This window comes from Homo sapiens, chromosome X, assembly GCF_000001405.40.
Source record: "Homo sapiens chromosome X, GRCh38.p14 Primary Assembly".
Taxonomy (NCBI): domain Eukaryota; kingdom Metazoa; phylum Chordata; class Mammalia; order Primates; family Hominidae; genus Homo; species Homo sapiens.
Window position 1 is genome coordinate 124,475,800 of NC_000023.11, and position 19,142 is coordinate 124,494,941.

General features: G+C 37.7%; 1 protein-coding gene across 16 annotated transcripts in view, besides 1 other annotated feature; it reads right to left on the minus strand.

Annotated features, from left to right (window-relative positions):
- Positions 1–19,142, minus strand: part of TENM1 (teneurin transmembrane protein 1) — an 828,410-nt gene that overhangs the window by 99,897 nt on the left and 709,371 nt on the right. For 9 of the 16 annotated variants that reach the window (XM_017029210.3, XM_017029211.3, NM_001163278.2 and 6 more), the window contains 2 exons: positions 11,410–11,430; positions 5,933–6,165 (listed from right to left, as the gene is read on the minus strand). In XM_017029210.3, the coding sequence (XP_016884699.1) occupies positions 5,933–6,165; positions 11,410–11,430 (254 nt within the window). Of the gene's footprint in view, positions 1–5,932; positions 6,166–8,166; positions 9,433–11,409; positions 11,431–19,142 lie in introns of those variants that run through there. The other 7 variants (XM_047441760.1, XM_017029214.3, NM_014253.3 and 4 more) reach the window with 4 other exon arrangements.
- Positions 12,568–13,266: an enhancer, noted in NCBI's record as "NANOG hESC enhancer chrX:123622217-123622915 (GRCh37/hg19 assembly coordinates)". NCBI's record gives its function as "activates a minimal SCP1, AML or CMV promoter by ChIP-STARR-seq in naive H9 embryonic stem cells {active_cell/tissue: H9 hESC(naive)}" and the evidence as "EXISTENCE:reporter gene assay evidence [ECO:0000049][PMID:30033119]".

A 19,142-nucleotide genomic window follows, 5' to 3' on the forward strand; every position in this document is an offset into this window, starting at 1 on the left:
ATTACCCTGTCGCCAACATTATCAAAAACGCATGCACAAGGTGGGCATCTCTCCTGCTTCAAATCCTTTCCCTATAGGATAAAATCCAAACTTCCTTTTCTTGCTTCTGCCCCCCTTTCCTATTACTCTCCAATATTCTTACTCTAAGAATACTGAATTATTTGCAGTTTCCTAAATATACCATTCTTTTTATCCATGCTATGGCTTACCCGTAATTTTGTTGAGGGCTGTCCCCAGTGTCAATCTAAATGGCTTTGTTACCAAGATGGATCATATGCTAAAGGAATTTAGGAAAAACCATACCACTTCCATTGAACAGGAGAACCAAAAGAACATTCTATGTCTGTTTCTTTACTACACTGTCTCCCTCATAGACACCAGTGACATCAGCAAAAAGTCACTGATTATAGCCTTAGCATCTTTCCATTAACCCCAAATATAACTTTTCACAATAGCATGCAGATGCCAGGAGAATGAGTAGGGCTTCAGGATGTACTTCAGCTAGACCTGGATAGGGACAAAAACAGATTGTTTGTGTCTAGACTTTGTTATTCCCAGATTTCTTAATTTCCAATAAAGTTAAGATGAATCCCGTAAGGTTAGTGTCATGTATACCCTAAAAACACTTTTGGAAGCCGTCAAGATTTAAGGATCATTTCCTTCCTATGGAACAGCTCAGAGGCTGTTTGCACTTGTCTGGATATTGCCTAAGTTCTGCTCCTGCTGAGTTCTGGCGTCAGTTTGCCTGAAGATGTACATGAGAATAGAGATATAACCCTTGGTGAGGTCCAAGAGAACCAAATTAAGTCACTGATTAATTTCATCCTGTCCAGTCACTCCTTCACCTTCCGTATCTACTTAAAAAAATAAATGCATCCAGCTTGTCACAAATTTTATTTTATATCCCCACCTAGTACCATTTCACATTCTGCTTAAGTACTTGGTCATCTATTACATGACTCATTAGTTTCAGTTCTCTGTAGAATTAAAGAAAGTTGCAGTAAAAATAATAAATGGAACCTAAGTTTCAACTACATCATCCATGCATGTTTTAAAAGCATCTTTCAAAGTCAATTCAAACTCATATACAATGCCAGGGATTAGTACTCCATCAACCTCTTTTCGAAACTTTTTTTCTTTGTCCCATTACATTGAAGTATTGATGAGTAAAATGGCAAATGTTTCTCTTTGTTGAGATTCAGATCTAAGTGCATAAAACTGGATCAGATAAAGACTTCCTCCCAGGAGAAGTACCCAGAGGCTATCACATGAAATTCTATTTGGGGACGCTTCCATTTTTCCTTCAAACAAAATTTGTAGTTACTACTGTAGTCAAGAAATTTAATAAAATGAAGATTTCCTGCCTGTGTCCCTTAAGGAAAATTTGGTGAAGTTTCTAATTACAGAATCTTCCAAAGAGAAGTGACAAGGTTTCCTGGAGATTTATTTGAATAATTACATTTACAGAGTATGTAAACGCTATCTATGTAGTGCACTATGGGTACACTACTAGGTCAGAAAAATCTGAGAAATGGTTTTAATAGGAAAAGGAAACTAGACTAAAAGTTATTTATCTTGTAAATAAAAATATTTTGTTCCCATTGAATACATGTCCTCAGATTGAAAAGCATTTTTTTCCCCCAATATTTCCAACCTTCCCAGAGATCATAGATTTTAGCAGAAAGGCAGACAGTGTGGTATGGTGAAGTAAAGTGTGGCCGAGGTGGGCGGATCACGAGGTCAGGAGTTCGAGAACAGTCTGACCAACATGGTGAAACCCCGTCTCTACTAAAAATACAAAAATGAGCCAGGCGTGGTGGCCCCTTCCTGTAATCCCAGCTACTCAGGAGGCTGAGGCAGGAGAATCGCTGGAACTCGGGAGGTGGAGGTTGCAGTGACCCATGATCGTGCCACTGCACTCCAGCCAGGGTGACAGCGAGACTTCGTCTCAAAAAAAAAAAAAAAAAAAAAAAATGGCATCATGGGTTTTTCGGAGTCAGGCAGACCTGGTTTGAATTCCAGTGTTGTTATCTGTAAACTGTGTGAAACTGGGTAAATTTCTTTTTTAAAAAATAACTTTTATTTTAGGTTCAGTGGTACATGTGTAGTATGTCCAGGTAAATTTCTTAACCTGTCTGATTCTCTATTTCCTCTTCTGTACAATGTGACTAATACTATTTACATCATGCATTGTTGTGAACATCAGAGAAACTGTGTAAAATATCTAGCACAGTGTATGGCACACAGTAGGCACTGAACAAGTTATAGTTACAGTTATTTTAATACATTAGAGCTGAAAGGGAGATCATCCTGACCCCTTCAGTTTACAACTGAAGAATTTCAGGACCCAGTGTTTAAATGCCCAATGTCATAAAATTAGTCAATGGCACCACTCAGCCTGTCTATCTTCGTGTTCGGGTAAATGAAACCACAGTGAGGTACAGTGACTTGCACGGAGTCATTGAAAGAAAACATGGGCATTACATGTATTGAAAAAGAAAGTCCGGGCTCCCTCCTTTGGTATTTACCAAAACTTGCTGCCATTGCTAAAAACAAAAACAGAAACAAAACCAAAACAAAAAATTCCCATGGCTCCTGACCTGTTACCTTTCGCTGACTGGTTTTTAACTCCATTGGATAATTTACTCTGAATTTAGAATGAATGATCTCAAAAGCAAATTTTATTTCATCCTATTTTTAGAACAGATTTAGAGAGTAAATTAGCTGTCGTACAGATTAACATTTATTTGACTTACCTTGCATAATTAAGGACATGTTGGAGAACCTTCCTATAATTGCAATATGTTGCTTGTTAAAGTCTTGGAGCGAGCAAGCTCTTTTCCCTAACCTAGAAATGGTGCTCCCTAGATGTACATTTCCATTTTCTACTGATCTACAGCTTTTCTTTATTAGCTTCTAGGTGGAGGGAAAAATCAAACCTCTCCTTAAAGAAATTCATTAAACGTTTGCTATCTACTAAGTGGAAGGAAGAAGGAGCTGATGTACAGGGTAGTTTTAAAGCAAAAAACAAACAAATTGGGCTTTCTTGAGAAACAAAGAATCTGTAAGAGAACCTCAAAGATGAAATGAGCAATTAGCAATACTCTCCTCTCATTTTGTACACTGTAATAACTTTTTGCATGTTTTTTCCTTTTATGGAAGTCTATGAAATCGCCCTGCAGCATTTCATTTAAAGAGAATCTCACTTCTAATTCACTGACAAAGGTGAGTGCTGACTATATTCAGCATGGAGATAGGTGCCATAGCTAGGCACCTAAGTGTTCTGACCAGCATTTTCAGAGCAACTGATGGCTGGACAGAGGTTCTGCCAGCTGAGTTATTATAAAGATCACTGACAGGGTCTTCAAACATTGTTAGCATGGTTGAAGGAGATGTGGTGGCTACCTAGTGTGAACCACACATCCCACTCCTTTAAGCATTCTAGTTCACTCACTGGATCAAAGCAGATGTTGACAACACCAGCTTCAGGAACGTTATGTGTAAGCTGTCCCAGATGGATTAGACATTTAGCTGTCTGAAGTCTGGGCCAGATGTTATCAGGGCTCTCTTATTGCTTTGGAATGAATGAAGTGTACCAGATTATGGCAAAGGAAGCTCTCGGATAGAAGGATGAGTAAATCAAGACAAAGGAAAATGTAGTAGTGGCTATGACAAGAAGAAAAACTTAGTTTAATATTAGCTTTGATACATAAATTTCAGCACTCTCATTACTGACGCTTCAAGAGTTCATGTAAATCCTGTTCATCAGTACTTTATTACTGCTGCTTTCCAAGAAAAAAAAAAGCTGCAGTGAACCAATTATTTGCTTTATTTGGAAAAGCTAAAATATTCATTCTCTGTGTGGCAGGTTGAATGCAGTAGTTGAGGTGAATGGTTTTCAGACTAGCAGCAACTCAGGAGGATGTCAATTTAAGGCACAATACAAGCTTGATTCCTCTCTATTTTTTATGCAGAAATCTTTATAATACCCTCAAGAATTTTAAACCTGTGTAAAAGGTGAGACCCAGCCTAATGTATTTTCTTGAAAGATGAGCTGATCACATGTTGCACCCGAGTTATTTATTCAATCATTAAATACTTATTGTGGACCCACTATGTATAAGGAAAGAGCTGGCACAGAGAAATAAAGAAAAAATTTACCATAATACTTGGGGCGGGGCTTGTGTTCCCTTAGGGAAAATAAATCACCCCCTGTAAACACCATTGAAATTCCTTTTAGGAATTCCTGGCATAGATAAGAGTTACTTAATTGATCAATTACACAATAAGTATGTGTAGTGGGTCCCACACTATGCTAGAAGTTGGTGGGGAAGTGGGGAAGATTCCATAATATTAGATGTGATTTCCCATCTCAAGCGACTTATTTCAGTAGAAAAAATCTCCCATTCATGAAAGCACTGGAAGCAAAAGAAGGCAAAATAAAATCAAGTGCTAATTGTGTAGTGTAGACACTGTTAAATAAATTCAGATTTAATGGTATGGGGTTAGCCAGAGGGGCTTTATAAAAGACAAAGGCCTTGAAGAAAGTGAAATCTTTAAACTGTGATACTAGTAGGAATTCAATCCCAATATAGCAAACGTCAAATGGTTAAAGAGTAACCTCTTAAAATTTAAAGTAATAAGTGACCATCTAATAAATTAAACACATTGACCTCACTACATTTATTGGCATGGAAAGATGTTCATAATACATTGTGTAAAACAGGTTACAGAACAGCGTTGTATAATATGATTCTACTGTTACAGAATTAAAATATCTGATATGCATGGAAAAGTCTAGAAGGATAAATACTAAAATGTTTACAGTGGTTTTCTACATGTAGTAGGCTTATGGGTGATTTTAATTAAATTTTTTTATTCTCCCTTTTCTAATTTTTCTGCAACAAATGTTTGTATTATTTGTATAATAACTAAGAAAACACTGGCTTTGTAAGCCCAGTAAAATGAATAATTTCTAAAATCACTAACATAAATGCATACATGTATGCATGCATGCAGATACACACACACACACATACACACACATACACAAACATCTTAGAGAAGGAACTGAGAAGAGCAGTTAAATAATTAAGATGACAGGGTCAATGATATATGATGACAGACTTAAAAGTTGACTATCCTTCAACTTTGTGGCCTAAGATTGGCATATGATCCAGAAAATCCAGAAGTTAATTGGGAGACACAGATTTGTTCACTAGATTCTAGGCAATTAAATTGAAGGTTGGTCTTTGAAGACTGAGAAGTAAATTTAGGACAAATAAAAATAAGGCCAAACTCCCACAGAAGGCAACAGAAAAAAATTGGAATTTGTTATTCTAGAGGCAATATCAACTGAAAATATAAGTAATTTCCAGAATGATTTAGATAAATTAATGGAAGAAAGGTTCATTGAAGATTCATAATTTTGTTAAGCAAAAGTCAGGAATGTTTAGGGTCTGTGAGATATTCAACATACTTAGCAGTGGTAGAAGGTAGGCACAGACCTTATCGCAAGCAATGCAGGCTGAAGAGCCAAAGCAGGGGTCTGCAGGCTCTCTGCTGGGTCAGGTTAACCCTTTAGTTGCTGGACTGTGGGGAGTTTCCAGGAGGTAATTCTGGGGTGGGTTGTGGTGCCAGGGAGGCACTCTGAGGGTTCTGGCTAATAGTTATTTATCAACTAGAAAAGAAAGCATTTCATTCTTTTAATAACAGCTATAACCATACTAATGAATATTGGCTAAAAATGCATTATGTGCCTTGGATGTGTCTACTGGGACAGACTTCAATATTTTGGCTCTCAGAGGCAAAATATTGAGATTAGTGGATGGGCTAAAGTGTGGCAACAGTCTCGGGATTTTGTAAAGTCAAATAAAATCTTTAGATGACCCAAGGGTATATATATATATATATTTATTTATTTATTTTTTACCTCGAGGGCTATTCAGTGAAGCTTCCGATGCTCTCCCACCATCTCCACAATGACTCTGGTCAAAGGGAAGGCACTGATCACCAGTTCCTGCCACCACTTCAAAATTCTTGGACAGATCTTTCGTCTCCACAAGAGATTTCAACTTGTAGACTTTGCGAGTATTGGTGTCTGATAGATAGAGTGATTCAGACACAGGGTCCATAGCCAGATAGTATTTGTGAGCAGGACTTGTGCTAAGGAAGAGAAAAGTAAAGTTATTCAAGGCAATTTTTCAACACGAACCCCCTGGGCTCAGCCTTTTTTCACAAATGGAAAAATCTTTTGATAGATGAGTGAATTCATTTATCTTCCTTCTTAAGTACCAAGGAGATGGATACTTCTCTGTTTTTCTAATAGTGGGTCTAGGTATGAAACAAATCTAATGTATACTGCTAATTCATAATGATGCTGACATTCCGATACCATCCATTTGGGGATAGAAAGAAACAGAAGACAGGAAATCTCAGGAGGTCATTTTTCTCTTATTCTCCATACTCAGTTATCCAATTACCTACTAGATCACTGCTGGGTGTCTCAGTCACCTCAAACTCAACATATCCAAAACAGAAGTTACTTTCTTTTCCTGCTTTCCCCATCCCTCATAAACCTACTTCCTTTCTCTTGGGCTTCTCACCTTGCTTGTGGACAATACCATCCTCCCAGGCCCCAGTTGTCAATTGAAAGGCATGTCCAAAGCTCAAGGAGTGTCGCTAAGGGAGGATCATGCTGGAGATCTACTGCCAAACTTCTTTCCAAGTTTCCCTTTTTCAATTGACTACCACAGTTTTCTAATCTGGTTTTTGTTCTTTCAGGACATAATGGAACTGGTTATATTTAACCTTTTTAAAGTTATAATGGCAATCATATGATTGTGTAATCGCATAGTTATACCTCCTAAAAGTGACCCTAAAGTTACCTTGTTTGGATTCTGGCATTCTTGAAACTTTTCTATTACATACTCACAAGGAATCTCAAGTTATTTTTATCTGTATAGATGGCTGAGTTTGTTTATTATTTTGATTCTTCCTAATTTTAGTTTTTCAATGGCTACAATAACCTTAGTTTTGGAGACATTTTACTTGAACCTAAGGTTTGTGTAATACTGACATCATCCAAACCCCAAATGTGGAAGTCATCCCTAATCCCTCTTTTGCTCTCCACATGCAATTGTGTCTGTAAACTAACTTTCAGAAACATTCTCATCTTCCATCCCTATGCCATTACATTAGTTCTATCTTTCAGTATCTCTGGCCTGGAATATTTTCTATAGATCGATATGTAGGATGTGTTTTTGAAATCTTAAATCATTTTTTTCCCATGCTGCCTGCAGAGTTATTCTGATCATTTGGCTCCCATCTTTAAAAACTTTTTAATGTTTCTTGGTGTGTTAGCCAAGCCTTTCTTCTCTTAATTCATTCTTACATGTCTTTTGAGGCTTTATTTGGGCATCATCTCCTGAAGGAAGCTTTCCCAGTCTTCCCTTCTCCAGTCTGGGTTATTTGCATTATCTTACCTCTATTCTGGGGATTACATATCATATTAAATTATTTGTTTATGCGTTGTTTGCATCTCCCTCTCCTGCCCTGCCAGTTGCAATAAAGCTTGGTGGAGAGCAATCTTGTCTTGTTCATCTCTGATATGTTCATTGCCCATACCTCTGCCTAGCACCCAGTTGTCAAAGCCAGAAACCAGAAGCCATTCTTTTCTACTTCCTTCTTTCCACCATTTCCCACATCCAGTGAAAGGTGGTTTTTAAATTCTACTTTCTAAATTGTTTTCCAGTCTGCTCACTTCTTTTTATCTCTGCTGTTTTTACTCTAAGGCCTCATCATCTCTCATCTGAACTACTTCCTTGGTACCATTTCAGTATTGTGTATTTGTTTACTAATTCATTAAAAATCATTTATTAAGTGCATACAATGTATCCAAGAACTGTGCTATGTTCTAGAGACCTACTTGTGTGCAAGATACACACAGCTTCTTTCTTTATGAAACTCACAGTCTAGTGGGAGAGACAGATAAGTAGACAGGATATGACTACCATGAGTCCAAGTGTTATGACAGGAGAAACAGAAGGAGAGAAATTAGTAAAGAAGAGGGACTTGTGTCTTAGCAGCACCTATTGTATGGTATTAGCATTATTTTTAAAACTTATTAAATGAAGTCCATACTTATTAGATTTCCTTAGTTTTTACCTAATGTTCTCTTTCTGTTCCAGGATCCCATCCACGATAACAAATTATATTTAGTCGTCATGTCTTCTTAGGCTCTTCTGTGCTGTGACAGTTTCTCAGACTTTTCTTGTTTTTGATGACCTTAACAGTTTTGAGGAGTACTGGTCAGGTATTTTGCAGAATACCCTTGACTGAAATGTGTCTGATTGTTTTTTCTTACAGTTAGACAGGGGTGATAGGCTTTTGGGAGGAAGAGCACAGAGGTAATAAAGTGCCATTCTGATCAAATTATATCAAGGGTACATACTACCAACATGATGTACACTAATGGGTTTGACCTTGATCTCCTGGCTGAAATAGTGTTCGTCAGATTTCTTCACTGTAAAGATACTCTTTCTCCCCTACTTTCCACACTTTACTCTTTGGAAGGAAGTAACTATGCGTAGCCAACACTTAAGGAGTAGAGAGTTATGCTCCACCTCCTTGAGGGTGGAGTATCTACATAAATTATTTGGAATTCTTCTAAATGGGAGCTTTATCTCGTCTCCATCTATTATTAATTCAACCATTTATTTATATCAGTATGGACTCATGGATATTTATTTTATACTTTGCATTAAATCCAATGCTACTTTATTTTGTTGCTCAAGTTCTTCCAGCTTTAGCCATTGGGAGCTCTTTTCGTTGACTCATGTGTCCCTTTGCCATATCCCCATCAATGAGGGATTTTTTTTTTAGCCTTTCCTTTCTTTCTGGCACTACCAGATGCTCTGGGCTCATCTGCTATACCCCCTGCCCCAATCCTAGAATCAGCCATTTCTCCAAAGACTCCCCTGGTTCCCTTTATTGGAGAATGGTATTAGAAACCAAGATCTGGGTGCTGGGTGTAAGCACTATTTTTTTTCCTAACATATCTTTCTCTCCAACTACACTGTGAGCTCTTTGCAGGCAGGAACCATATTCATCTCTCTATTCTCAGTGCCAACAGAGGGCCTGACAGGATTGGTGCTTAGTACGTGCTAAACTAAACTGAACTGCAGGATATAAAACTAAGACATAAAAGAGTTCAGGCCTTGCTACTTAGGCAAAATGGAGGGGAGAGGGTGGTGAGAACAATCAAGATACCTTTAAGGACTGGAATGTTATTAATTGTATTTGTAATTATATTTGCCCTCCAAGCATATTTATGTATGTTAATAATAATCAGGCCTGCAAATACTAATTTGAGACTGTTTATAGTTTTAATTGGAAAAAATTAGGTTCAATTGGAATACTTAATCTTTTCCTACTTACCTTCATCAAGTAAGAGAATCCAGTAGATTCCAGGGACACCTCCAACCCTGGAACCACCATAACAGGTGCTGTAAATAAACTATGAAGGGCCCCAACAAACTCTAGAATTGATTTGGTAGCCATACCAGACAAGGCATCTCTCTGGGAAAAACTGCTTCAATAGGGGTTTGAGTAAAATTCTTTACATATATAGTTAAATTTTTGCCTTCAGAATAAAATTTTTCCAATGTGCTCAGATCTTTCTAGAAAAAAGAAGGGGTCAAAACCCTTCTTTGAAACAACTACAATATTTTGATAGCCAGTTTGTGGAGTTTCAATTCAGTCAGATTAGTCATGCTTTGTTTAGGAAGAGTCCATAGGCCATTTTTCCAAGAGAAATGCTATTTTGCTATTTGCACAAAAGCACTTTGGAATGCAGTACATTCATTCATTATTGAATACCCCCAGTGTGCCTGTGAGGAAAGTTAGAATTAGCAATCTCCTCAAATCTCAGCTGGGGAAACCCAGACACATAGGGAGCTTGTCCGGGGTCACTAACAAGTTTGGGCCTGGACCAAGATTAGACTAGATTATATGTGATTTTGTGTGCAAAATACCATCAGAATACTCTTGCTCTGAAGGCAGCAAAACAAATCAGCGTTCCTGCTTTCTAATGAGCAACATGTCCTATTTTGCTCAGCCAGGCTGTTCTCAAACTTTGTGTACTGGCCCTTAGAAAATAGAATAGCCCAACATACCAAAGTGAAATCTAATCAATGTTATTTTCTTGATAGCCAGCAGTCAGGAAGGTCCCTCCTATCAATATGTAACTTGCCATTTCATGTCATTTCTCAAGTGTACTTTAGCTCTTTTGAGGCTGATTTCTTTCTACTTTCTGAAAACAAGCCACACCTGAGAAAGAAAAAAACCACTGGACTATATTCCAATTTGCTTTAATCCCTTGTGTCTCAATGCAAATTGCAATTTGAGATATGTGAAGATTTCTTTTACAACTTGGGTGTTAGGTTTACTATCACCTTTTGGTTAGTTTTACATTCAAGCAATGCTCTTCAACTTAGCAAAGATCACTTCATTCATACTAGTTAAAAATCACATAGATTGTTAAATGGGCAATTAATGTTTATAATTAATACTGTGCAACATTTTACCAGTAAGCTATTTGACAACCAACTTAATTTGCTTAAGGAATCAGTTATGCCAAAGTAGCAAGGCTGATCGTCTGTACTGGCATTTAGGAAGTGGCATTGCCCAAATGAAATCCAGATTAGAAACCCCATCAGTGCCATTTTGATGACAATTGGCATTCGGGAGTGAACAAATTCAATTTTCTCCTTTGCAATTTCAGGCAATTTAGAACAGTTTTGACAAGTGTAATGCGTAAACACATTGAATAGAAATATTCATTATGATTAATTTCAGAGCTATGTACCATTGTCTGCAAACGGTCAGTTTAAGGTTTTCCTATTATTTCTTTTTGGTGGAAAGAAATAGAAACAGTGAGGTCACATAAAAGAAAAAAAGAAAAAAGTGTATTAAAGAAGGTCATCATGGTCACTGTCTCTTAATACACTTAAAAACTGTACTTCTGGATCTAGGGAGATTGCTGTATTACCTCTTTCTCTACCTGCAATTTGAAAACATCAAATCTATTTGAACTTACCAACTCATTTGTGTTATCACCTTAGGGAAACATAATGAAACTTAAGGCCTTGCTTTCCCATGAAGTACTCAACTGTCAGCTTTCACTTATGAATTGTTTTCTTTTTAGTATGTTTTGATCCTCCAGCAAATCCTACATAGTGGACCCTTCTTCTTTTGGAAGACACTTACCTGAGTTATAACTTCCAAATTTATGTTCACACTATTCTTTAACCTTATTTAGGAAGAAAAATTTCCCTATTAACACATTATCAGGAGGTAGTCTCATAGGCAAGAGGGGGCATTAGGTAGCTGCTGATGTGATTTGCTTACCTATGTCTGGTATCTCTGTTTCTAGGGTGCACAAGGTATCCACGAGTGGCAAGCAAAAGCAAACAGAGAGTCATCAGTATCATTGAACATGCCAAACCTAACCAGACACACCAATTCCTAACTCAGATTGCGGCATTTAGAGAGACTCTATGGGGATCATTTAGTCAGGCGTGCAAGCCAAAGTTGATCCAATCCCTCCAGGCTTTGCCTCCTAAGATGGTGTCAAGGCGATTGCATATTTTGTTTGGTGGATGCGCAAAGTTCTAAGGCAGATTTTTCAAAAGGTTCTCTCTGGACCATCTGCATCAGAATCACTTGGATTCTTGCACTTGTGCACTTTCCTAGGGTTCTCCCTAGCCCTACTGAATCAGAATCTTGGGTGGAGGTGGGGCCTGGAAATTTTACTTTTAACAAAGTTGGCTGGCAATTCTGATGCAAAATAAAATTTAGGAACCATTGAACTAGGGGTTGAAGAAGCAGCCACGGCAGAGGGACTAACCATTTTAGGCTTTGGTTTGATAGCCATAAGCACTCTATCAAAGTGTAAAATCACTGTTTTATTATCAAATTGTGTGTACAGACAGACATCCCAACACTAACCCTAAGCCACTTATCTGATCTCAGAGATAAGATAGGAACATCTGTTGTGCAAATTCCTTAGCAATATTAAAGAGCTCCTTAACAAGTTGAAAGTGTAAGAGTTTTCTTTTAGACCATGACAGAATATCCCTGACAGCAAAACTGCTGATCAAAACAACTTCAATAAAACACATTGTACATCAACTATTAGGGCTTTGTGTCTTCTAGCCATCCATGCTCTAAAGGGCAACTGGGGTAGGCACTAGAGGACTGTTGGGCCAGAAGAAGGACAATACTTTGGTGGCTCCTGATCTGTAAGCCTCTTGGCACAGGGTATTGCCTAGGGCATTTCATGATGGGACCTGATATGAGGTTTCTCACACAGGGAGTGCAGTCTGTGTATAGGCCTGACTTTGGGTCAAGTCTGCCCAGAATTAAAAGGCTATAATCATCTGTGAAATACGATCATTTTAATTTTTAAAATCCTTTTAAATCTGGCCCTATGTCATTTTGAAAACATAGAGATAACCATTTTTTTATCTAAACTAGGAAATGGTCTTATTCTTTGGAATCTCAGGGAAGAAGAAAATATACAAAATTTTTCATCTGAAGTTATCTGCTACAGCAGATTCAACTCTTTTTAAAAAGAACCTTTCTGAGATTTTACTAGTTGGGCCACAGGTCAAGGTTCACTGACTTTTCTGTTTCCTTTGCTCATCTCAAAAGGGTAGGTATCCTGTGGGTTGAAACAAAGGTGAACTGATAAGGATGAGGAGCTCTGATTAGAAACCTGGCCGCAGGCATTTACGCCTCTTTCAATTTGTTTGTCTCTAGAAACTTTCATTTGCACCTCTTTCAATTTCCTTGTCTCTAGACACTTGCCTGTTTTTGTGGCCTCTAAATTATAGAATGAGTGTGTTTGAGCCTAGCTGTAATCACTGTGGCATAGGTGCTCCTCCTGAAAGTTTAGTTGTGAAAGTACTAGAAGGATCTCATTAAAATATGGTTTCATCAGCAGCAGATTCTCATGGTACAGAACCATTTGTGTGGCTACAAAGGGTTTTGAAATTCTTACATGATGGCAAGGAGTGAGAGGGGGATGGTTTGACTTTCTTGCAGCTGCTTCTGATTCTGCCAATAATGTCACTGTGAATTTGGAAAGATGTCCCATATTATGCAGAGCAGCTTCTCTCATTAACATCTCAGAGGGAGGAAGTGAAAATGACGGAATTTATTTCCAGTGTGTGACCTTGTTCTGTCTCAGAATTACTTTTCGTTAAGGATTTAGGACTGAGCCACCACCAAAGTCAGTCTGCTATCTAGCTACCAACTGACTACATGCTGAGGTGTCAGTGTGTGAGCTCTTCACAAGGGCCTGGGCCCATCCGTGGGCACCACCACCTGGCAATGGACCAACTTGAAGCTTGCCATGAGTTAGGAGGAGAAAGAAATGGAATTTCAAATCTTTTTAGAGCAAGACATGCTTCCAATGATAAAGTCTTTAAGTTGACCTTTGATTTTCTCAAGATCCAGGTGATGAAAGGGTCATGTACTCTTCTTTTTTAATTTAAAAGAAAATTATTGATATGATTTATATACCATAAAATTCACCCTTCTAAAATGTGTAATTCAGTGGTTTCCAGTACATTCAGAGAGTTGTGTAGCCTTTACCATTATTCAATTCCAGAACATTTTCATCATGCTATGAAGAAACTCCATACCTATTTGTGGTCACTTCCCATTTTTCCCCTCCCTCAGCTCCAGGCAACCACAAGAATACCTATTCTGGATATTTCATATAAATTGAACCGTTAAATATTTGTCCTTTTATGTCTAGCTTCTTCCACTTAACATAATGTACCATCTATTCCTTTTATGTTTTTGTGAGGTAAGGGATGGAAAAGAGGACATATGCCAATTTTGGAGCTGTTTTCTAGTGACCTGGCATCATGAGACTCTGACTGGCCTGCACTGTGGTGGCTGCAGCCCTTTACTTGTTCTTCATGCTGTTCTCAGCTTCTTTTCATATTCCTGGCCAGAAACATTTGACATTGAAGAATGGTCTGCCCTTCCTGCTCCTCTTTCCTTGGTCTTCTTGCTTTAGACATCAGAGCACACTCCTGACTGTCACTGACTTCTCAGGTCTTCCAACTCCAGCGACCCTCATCCAAGACTACCTTCCCCCATGCTCTGGCTCTGTTCCTTGCCCTTATCACAACTTACCTGTCCTGTTTTAGGGCCCTGTTTTCAGCTAGCAGTCCCTTTGAAAAGCAATCTGATAAATGAATCCATATCAAGGGACTCGTGAATGCTTTTAGCTTGATGAGCCATTCTAAAAGAGGTTCATGTTTTCGGAAATCTTAGAGATGCAATATTTCAATTCAAAGGAACATATTTCTTAGAGTGAAAATTTTGGGCACCATGGAAGGCCAGTGAAGATGTCTTTGGGTGAGGTGGAGGGAATCCTTGAGTACCACTGCTAATACATGAGATCAAACTGGGGAGGTAACCACCTATTTCATCTACACGTAGTGTTTCTAGTATTTGTAGCTCCAATGCTGTTGACAAGAGGATGGTTCATGGCCATTTCTGAGATATTTGTAGAGCTCTCAAAGCTCCATTTCCATTTGTTCCTTCAGCGGAGAGCTCTACAAGTTCTCCTGCCTCTCAGCATTCTAACTGCCCCTAAATGGCTGCTATTCCAGTTCTACTCCATTCCCAGTCAATGACAGGAATCAAGTCCAGAGCACAATGTATGAAATATTAAGCAGTTGCTGGAAAAGAAACAGGAAAATCTCAAGAGAAATTTTCATATCACATTGACATTTGTTGAATCCAAATTACTCAAGATACCAAGAAGCATTTGCCAGGCTCTTATTTTCTTATCTCTTTCACTTTTAAGGGAAGGACAAAATAAATATCTGGAGAATAACAAAATCTTGAACAACAGCAGCATGAGGTTTTTATAAAGAATAAATCATTTCCAGTCATGCTTAATGAGTTTTCTAATAGAGTTGTGAAATTAGAAGATGAGAGGGGTACAGGGGGATATTACATATTTGAATTCTTGCAAAGCACTTGATATGGTGTCTCCTATTTTTACTTACATAATTATCCCTGTTGGTTTCAGAAAACTTAAAAGTGGTCCTGAGGCTATAACAATTTAAAAAGTCAGCTAAGTCATAATTGATGGGAAATAGTTGAAGGACTTGTAGATGTTTAGACTGAGGAAGATAAAGCTCAGGAACCTATGACAGCTCTCCTCACACTTGTGAAAGTTGTCAGGTAAAAGAGGGAAGTGACTTCTGTACTGTTTTAGATGCTACCATTTGCCACTACTGAGTGAATTTTTCACAAACGCAGATTTTGGCTGAATATAAGGAAGAATTTTCTAATGGAGCAGTCCAAAGATGCAACGGATCTTGAGAAGTATTGAAGTTTCCCATGATTGAAAGAGATCAATGTAGAGACAACAAACCATCAGGCATGGAATGGGCACAATTTTGGACCTGATACCCTCATGGATCCTTCTAATACTAAGCTCACAAATCTGTGATGTCATTTTTGTTCTACTGAAATCTGTGTGTGGGTCTGCATACATGGAGCAAATCCCTAGTGAAACCAACTCCTAAACTATCTCACATAGAAGTGAATCTATCTTAAAATTTTTTTCAAGGATGTATTTTTAAAGTCGCAGAGGTTTAATTGTATGATCTTATAAGCTTTCCTTCTTTATTATCTTACCTCAATCTCCCACTGGAAGGAAGCTTTAAGATGCATACATACGAATGAAATCTGCAGGAAACAGGCAAAGGGGTACTATATACTTAAATAATAAGAAATAATATTGTTTCTCTTGGCAGATTTCTAATGATAGTGATATTGCTGACTTTTCCTTTTCCTCCTTGTTCTATCAATGGAAATAAATGATTGGCAACCAATGAAAATGAAGTTATTTTTGAGGTCAGATGTTTCAATTGGAAACGTTTCGGATCAATAGGGCTGAGGCAGAAAATATCTACAGTCCTCCAATCTTTAAACTGCCAAGGGACATCTGGAATTACTCGATGTGGCCAAATATGAAACAAAAGGATCTAGAAGGGCATCCATTAGGGGCAAACTATATGTCCTCCCAAAATGTCATCAAACTTTGGGCTGAGAGCTACACATCTGTGGATCTCTAAACAGGTTAAATTGTATGTGTCATGTAAGAGGATGCTCAAGTATAAACCTGAAGTCAATTTTATAGATAAGGAAGAGAACTACTAGAGAACATAGTACATCAGTTACATAATGAATAACCTGGCAGAGGATCAAAATCTATAAGGCTCTCTATCCCATTCTACAATAATCTGTTGACAATATTGCTTCTCCATTCACAATTTTAAATACAACCAATAACATAATGGCTATATTCGTCTGTGTTTCCAAGGAAACAGATGACTCAACCAAGTAAAGTGACTAATTTGCATGGGGCACAGAGCAATTAAATTAACTGATCTTAAGAAAAATACTGGTATGAAGTGAGGTTTTTATCTAACTACAGTAGAATCAATGAACATTATGGTTCTTAAGATAGCACAGCCTTATTAAATCAACTTATTTCTCTCCAGGAAGTTTAAATTTGGAAAATTTATAAAGCAAATATATAAATCCACAAATTATATGTACAATGTACAGTACACATATAGGCAACTGATCAGGATAGATGCTTTTTTTTTTTTAAAAGTGAATCTAATAAGAGCTATATTAGCTTCTGAGTAAACATGACAGCTAATGACAGCTAATGTGTGCTGACATAAACTGGTTTGATGGTTTTGAATATAGTCAAACAGTTAGGGAGTTACCTGTCAATTAGATCAAAATGATCATGTATATTCCATTAGCTTATTTCTTTGATGGCCAATCACAGGAGTGTTGGAATAGAGAAGAAATAATTGCCTTTTCTCCTTGAACCTAATGCAGGGGATATTAACCATGAGTCTATCAAAGGGCTTCATCTACAGGGACTGGTTGCTGGTGGGGCAGTGGGAGGCAGGGAACTCTAAGGAAGGGAAAAAAATGCGATCCCTTAAATCACATATGCCATTTTGTGTGATTTTGTTTTCTCTAGGGAGAGGGTCCATAGCCTTCAGTAGATTCTCAAAGGAGTCTAACACTAATAAAAAAAAAGTTAAGAAGAACTACTCTAAAGGATCTCAACTCAGAAAAGCCGGCTAGCTTGAGAAAAGCTCTCAAGCTAAGTGAGAGAGCCTTGATGTGTAAATTCAAAGTGTGTGCATGCCTAAGTGAAGAGCTGAGACAATGAGAGAAAATAGTGTCATGGAATAAGAATGAATAGAGGCATTGGATAGTACTTCAAACTGTCAAAAACTAATTTTTCTTTATACTGTGAAAATCAGTTTGCAATTAGAGTCCAAGTTATTCTATTTTATACTTCAAATGGCTTTGTATTGAAGGTCATAAGGTACTTTGGACTAAAATGCAAATTTGTAAACTGTTAAGGATCCTTGACCAAAAGAGAATCTCATCAATAAATGACAATTGCTCCACTTTAGGTAAATTTACGTTTAAATTACAAAGAAAAGGACTAAATTTAGCTGGAGTTTAAAAAATATTAATATAATTTTTTGTTTTGTTTTTGTAGATAATTTTACTGTTTTTCCTTTGAGGAGTTAGCTATATAGGGGTTAGCTATACAGGCTTTATAGGGTTAACTATGTAGACTCAGCAAGAAAAGGTCTCTGTCTACCTGACAGTCTGGATGACTGGAAACATTCAGATGTTGAATGAATTGTTCAGCGCTCCCATCTATATTTGGCATTATATAGATAGAGCATCCCTAGGGTTTTGAAAACAATGTGGACTGTTGTATAAATCATTTCCACATCCAGGCATACAAGCAACCATCTTGGCCTTCCTGTTGACTTTCCAGTAAGTAGGTGCCCAAAGAGATATGCTGCTGGAAATGACAAGTCCCCATGAGGTGTAACATTCTGAGGTACATGAACACTTGATTAGGGTAGGGTGCTATGAATTAGTACCTCTCTAGACTCTCTAAAAGTGCTTTGTCTTTATTATAAAGTCTTAACTTTACAGTCTGTTTTTTCATTAGCTAAAGGATTTAACAGCTTTCTTCCCTATGACAGCCTTTGCTACTATAATTAAGAAATGTATTAAAACTGGAGTGAATTAATGTGAAAAATGGATGGGGGCTTGGGACTAGAAGATTTCCCCAGCTAGGTGTTAGGGAATAACACTCAGTATTAGAAAATGGAGGTATATTCCATAGCAAGCATGAGAATCTGAAAAATTTTGAGAAATGCCCTTTGGACTTTCACATGCTTGTGTGAAAGTAAGTGTTAAATGAAAATGACCCAAGACTTTTCATGTGTTTTAATTGGCTTTGATGATGCCATGCACATACAAGTTGCTCTGTCAATGTCTATGCTCTTCTAGTCACTATATTTGATCACTATTTGTCAGGTCATTGAGGAGATGCCTGAAGAAAAAATTGTTTTATGGAATAGTTCATAGGATAGCATCTAGATCTTCTGAACATAGAGAAACTTAAAGCCAAATGTTCCAGAGGCATGTGTCAGGAATACAGCTGTCATAACTAGAAAGAAGGCTCTACCAGTTTACCCAGGGGAAAGGAAACAGGTTTGTTTATTCTTAAGGAGACAGGAGTTGAAGCTTCCCTTTTCTTTTATTTATTTATTTATTTATTTTTTATTATTATACTTTAAGTTTTAGGGTACATGTGCACATTGTACAGGTTAGTTACATATGTATACATGTGCCATGCTGGTGCGCTGCACCCACTAACTCGTCATCTAGCATTAGGTATATCTCCCAATGCTATCCCTCCCCCCTTCCCCCACCCCACAACAGTCCCCAGAGTGTGATATTCCCCTTCCTGTGTCCATGTGATCTCATTGTTCAATTCCCACCTATGAGTGAGAATATGCGGTGTTTGGTTTTCTGCTCTTGCGATAGTTTACTGAGAATGATGATTTCCAATTTCATCCATGTCCCTACAAAGGACATGAACTCATCATTTTTTATGGCTGCATAGTATTCCATGGTGTATATGTGCCACATTTTCTTAATCCAGTCTATCATTGTTGGACATTTGGGTTGGTTCCAAGTCT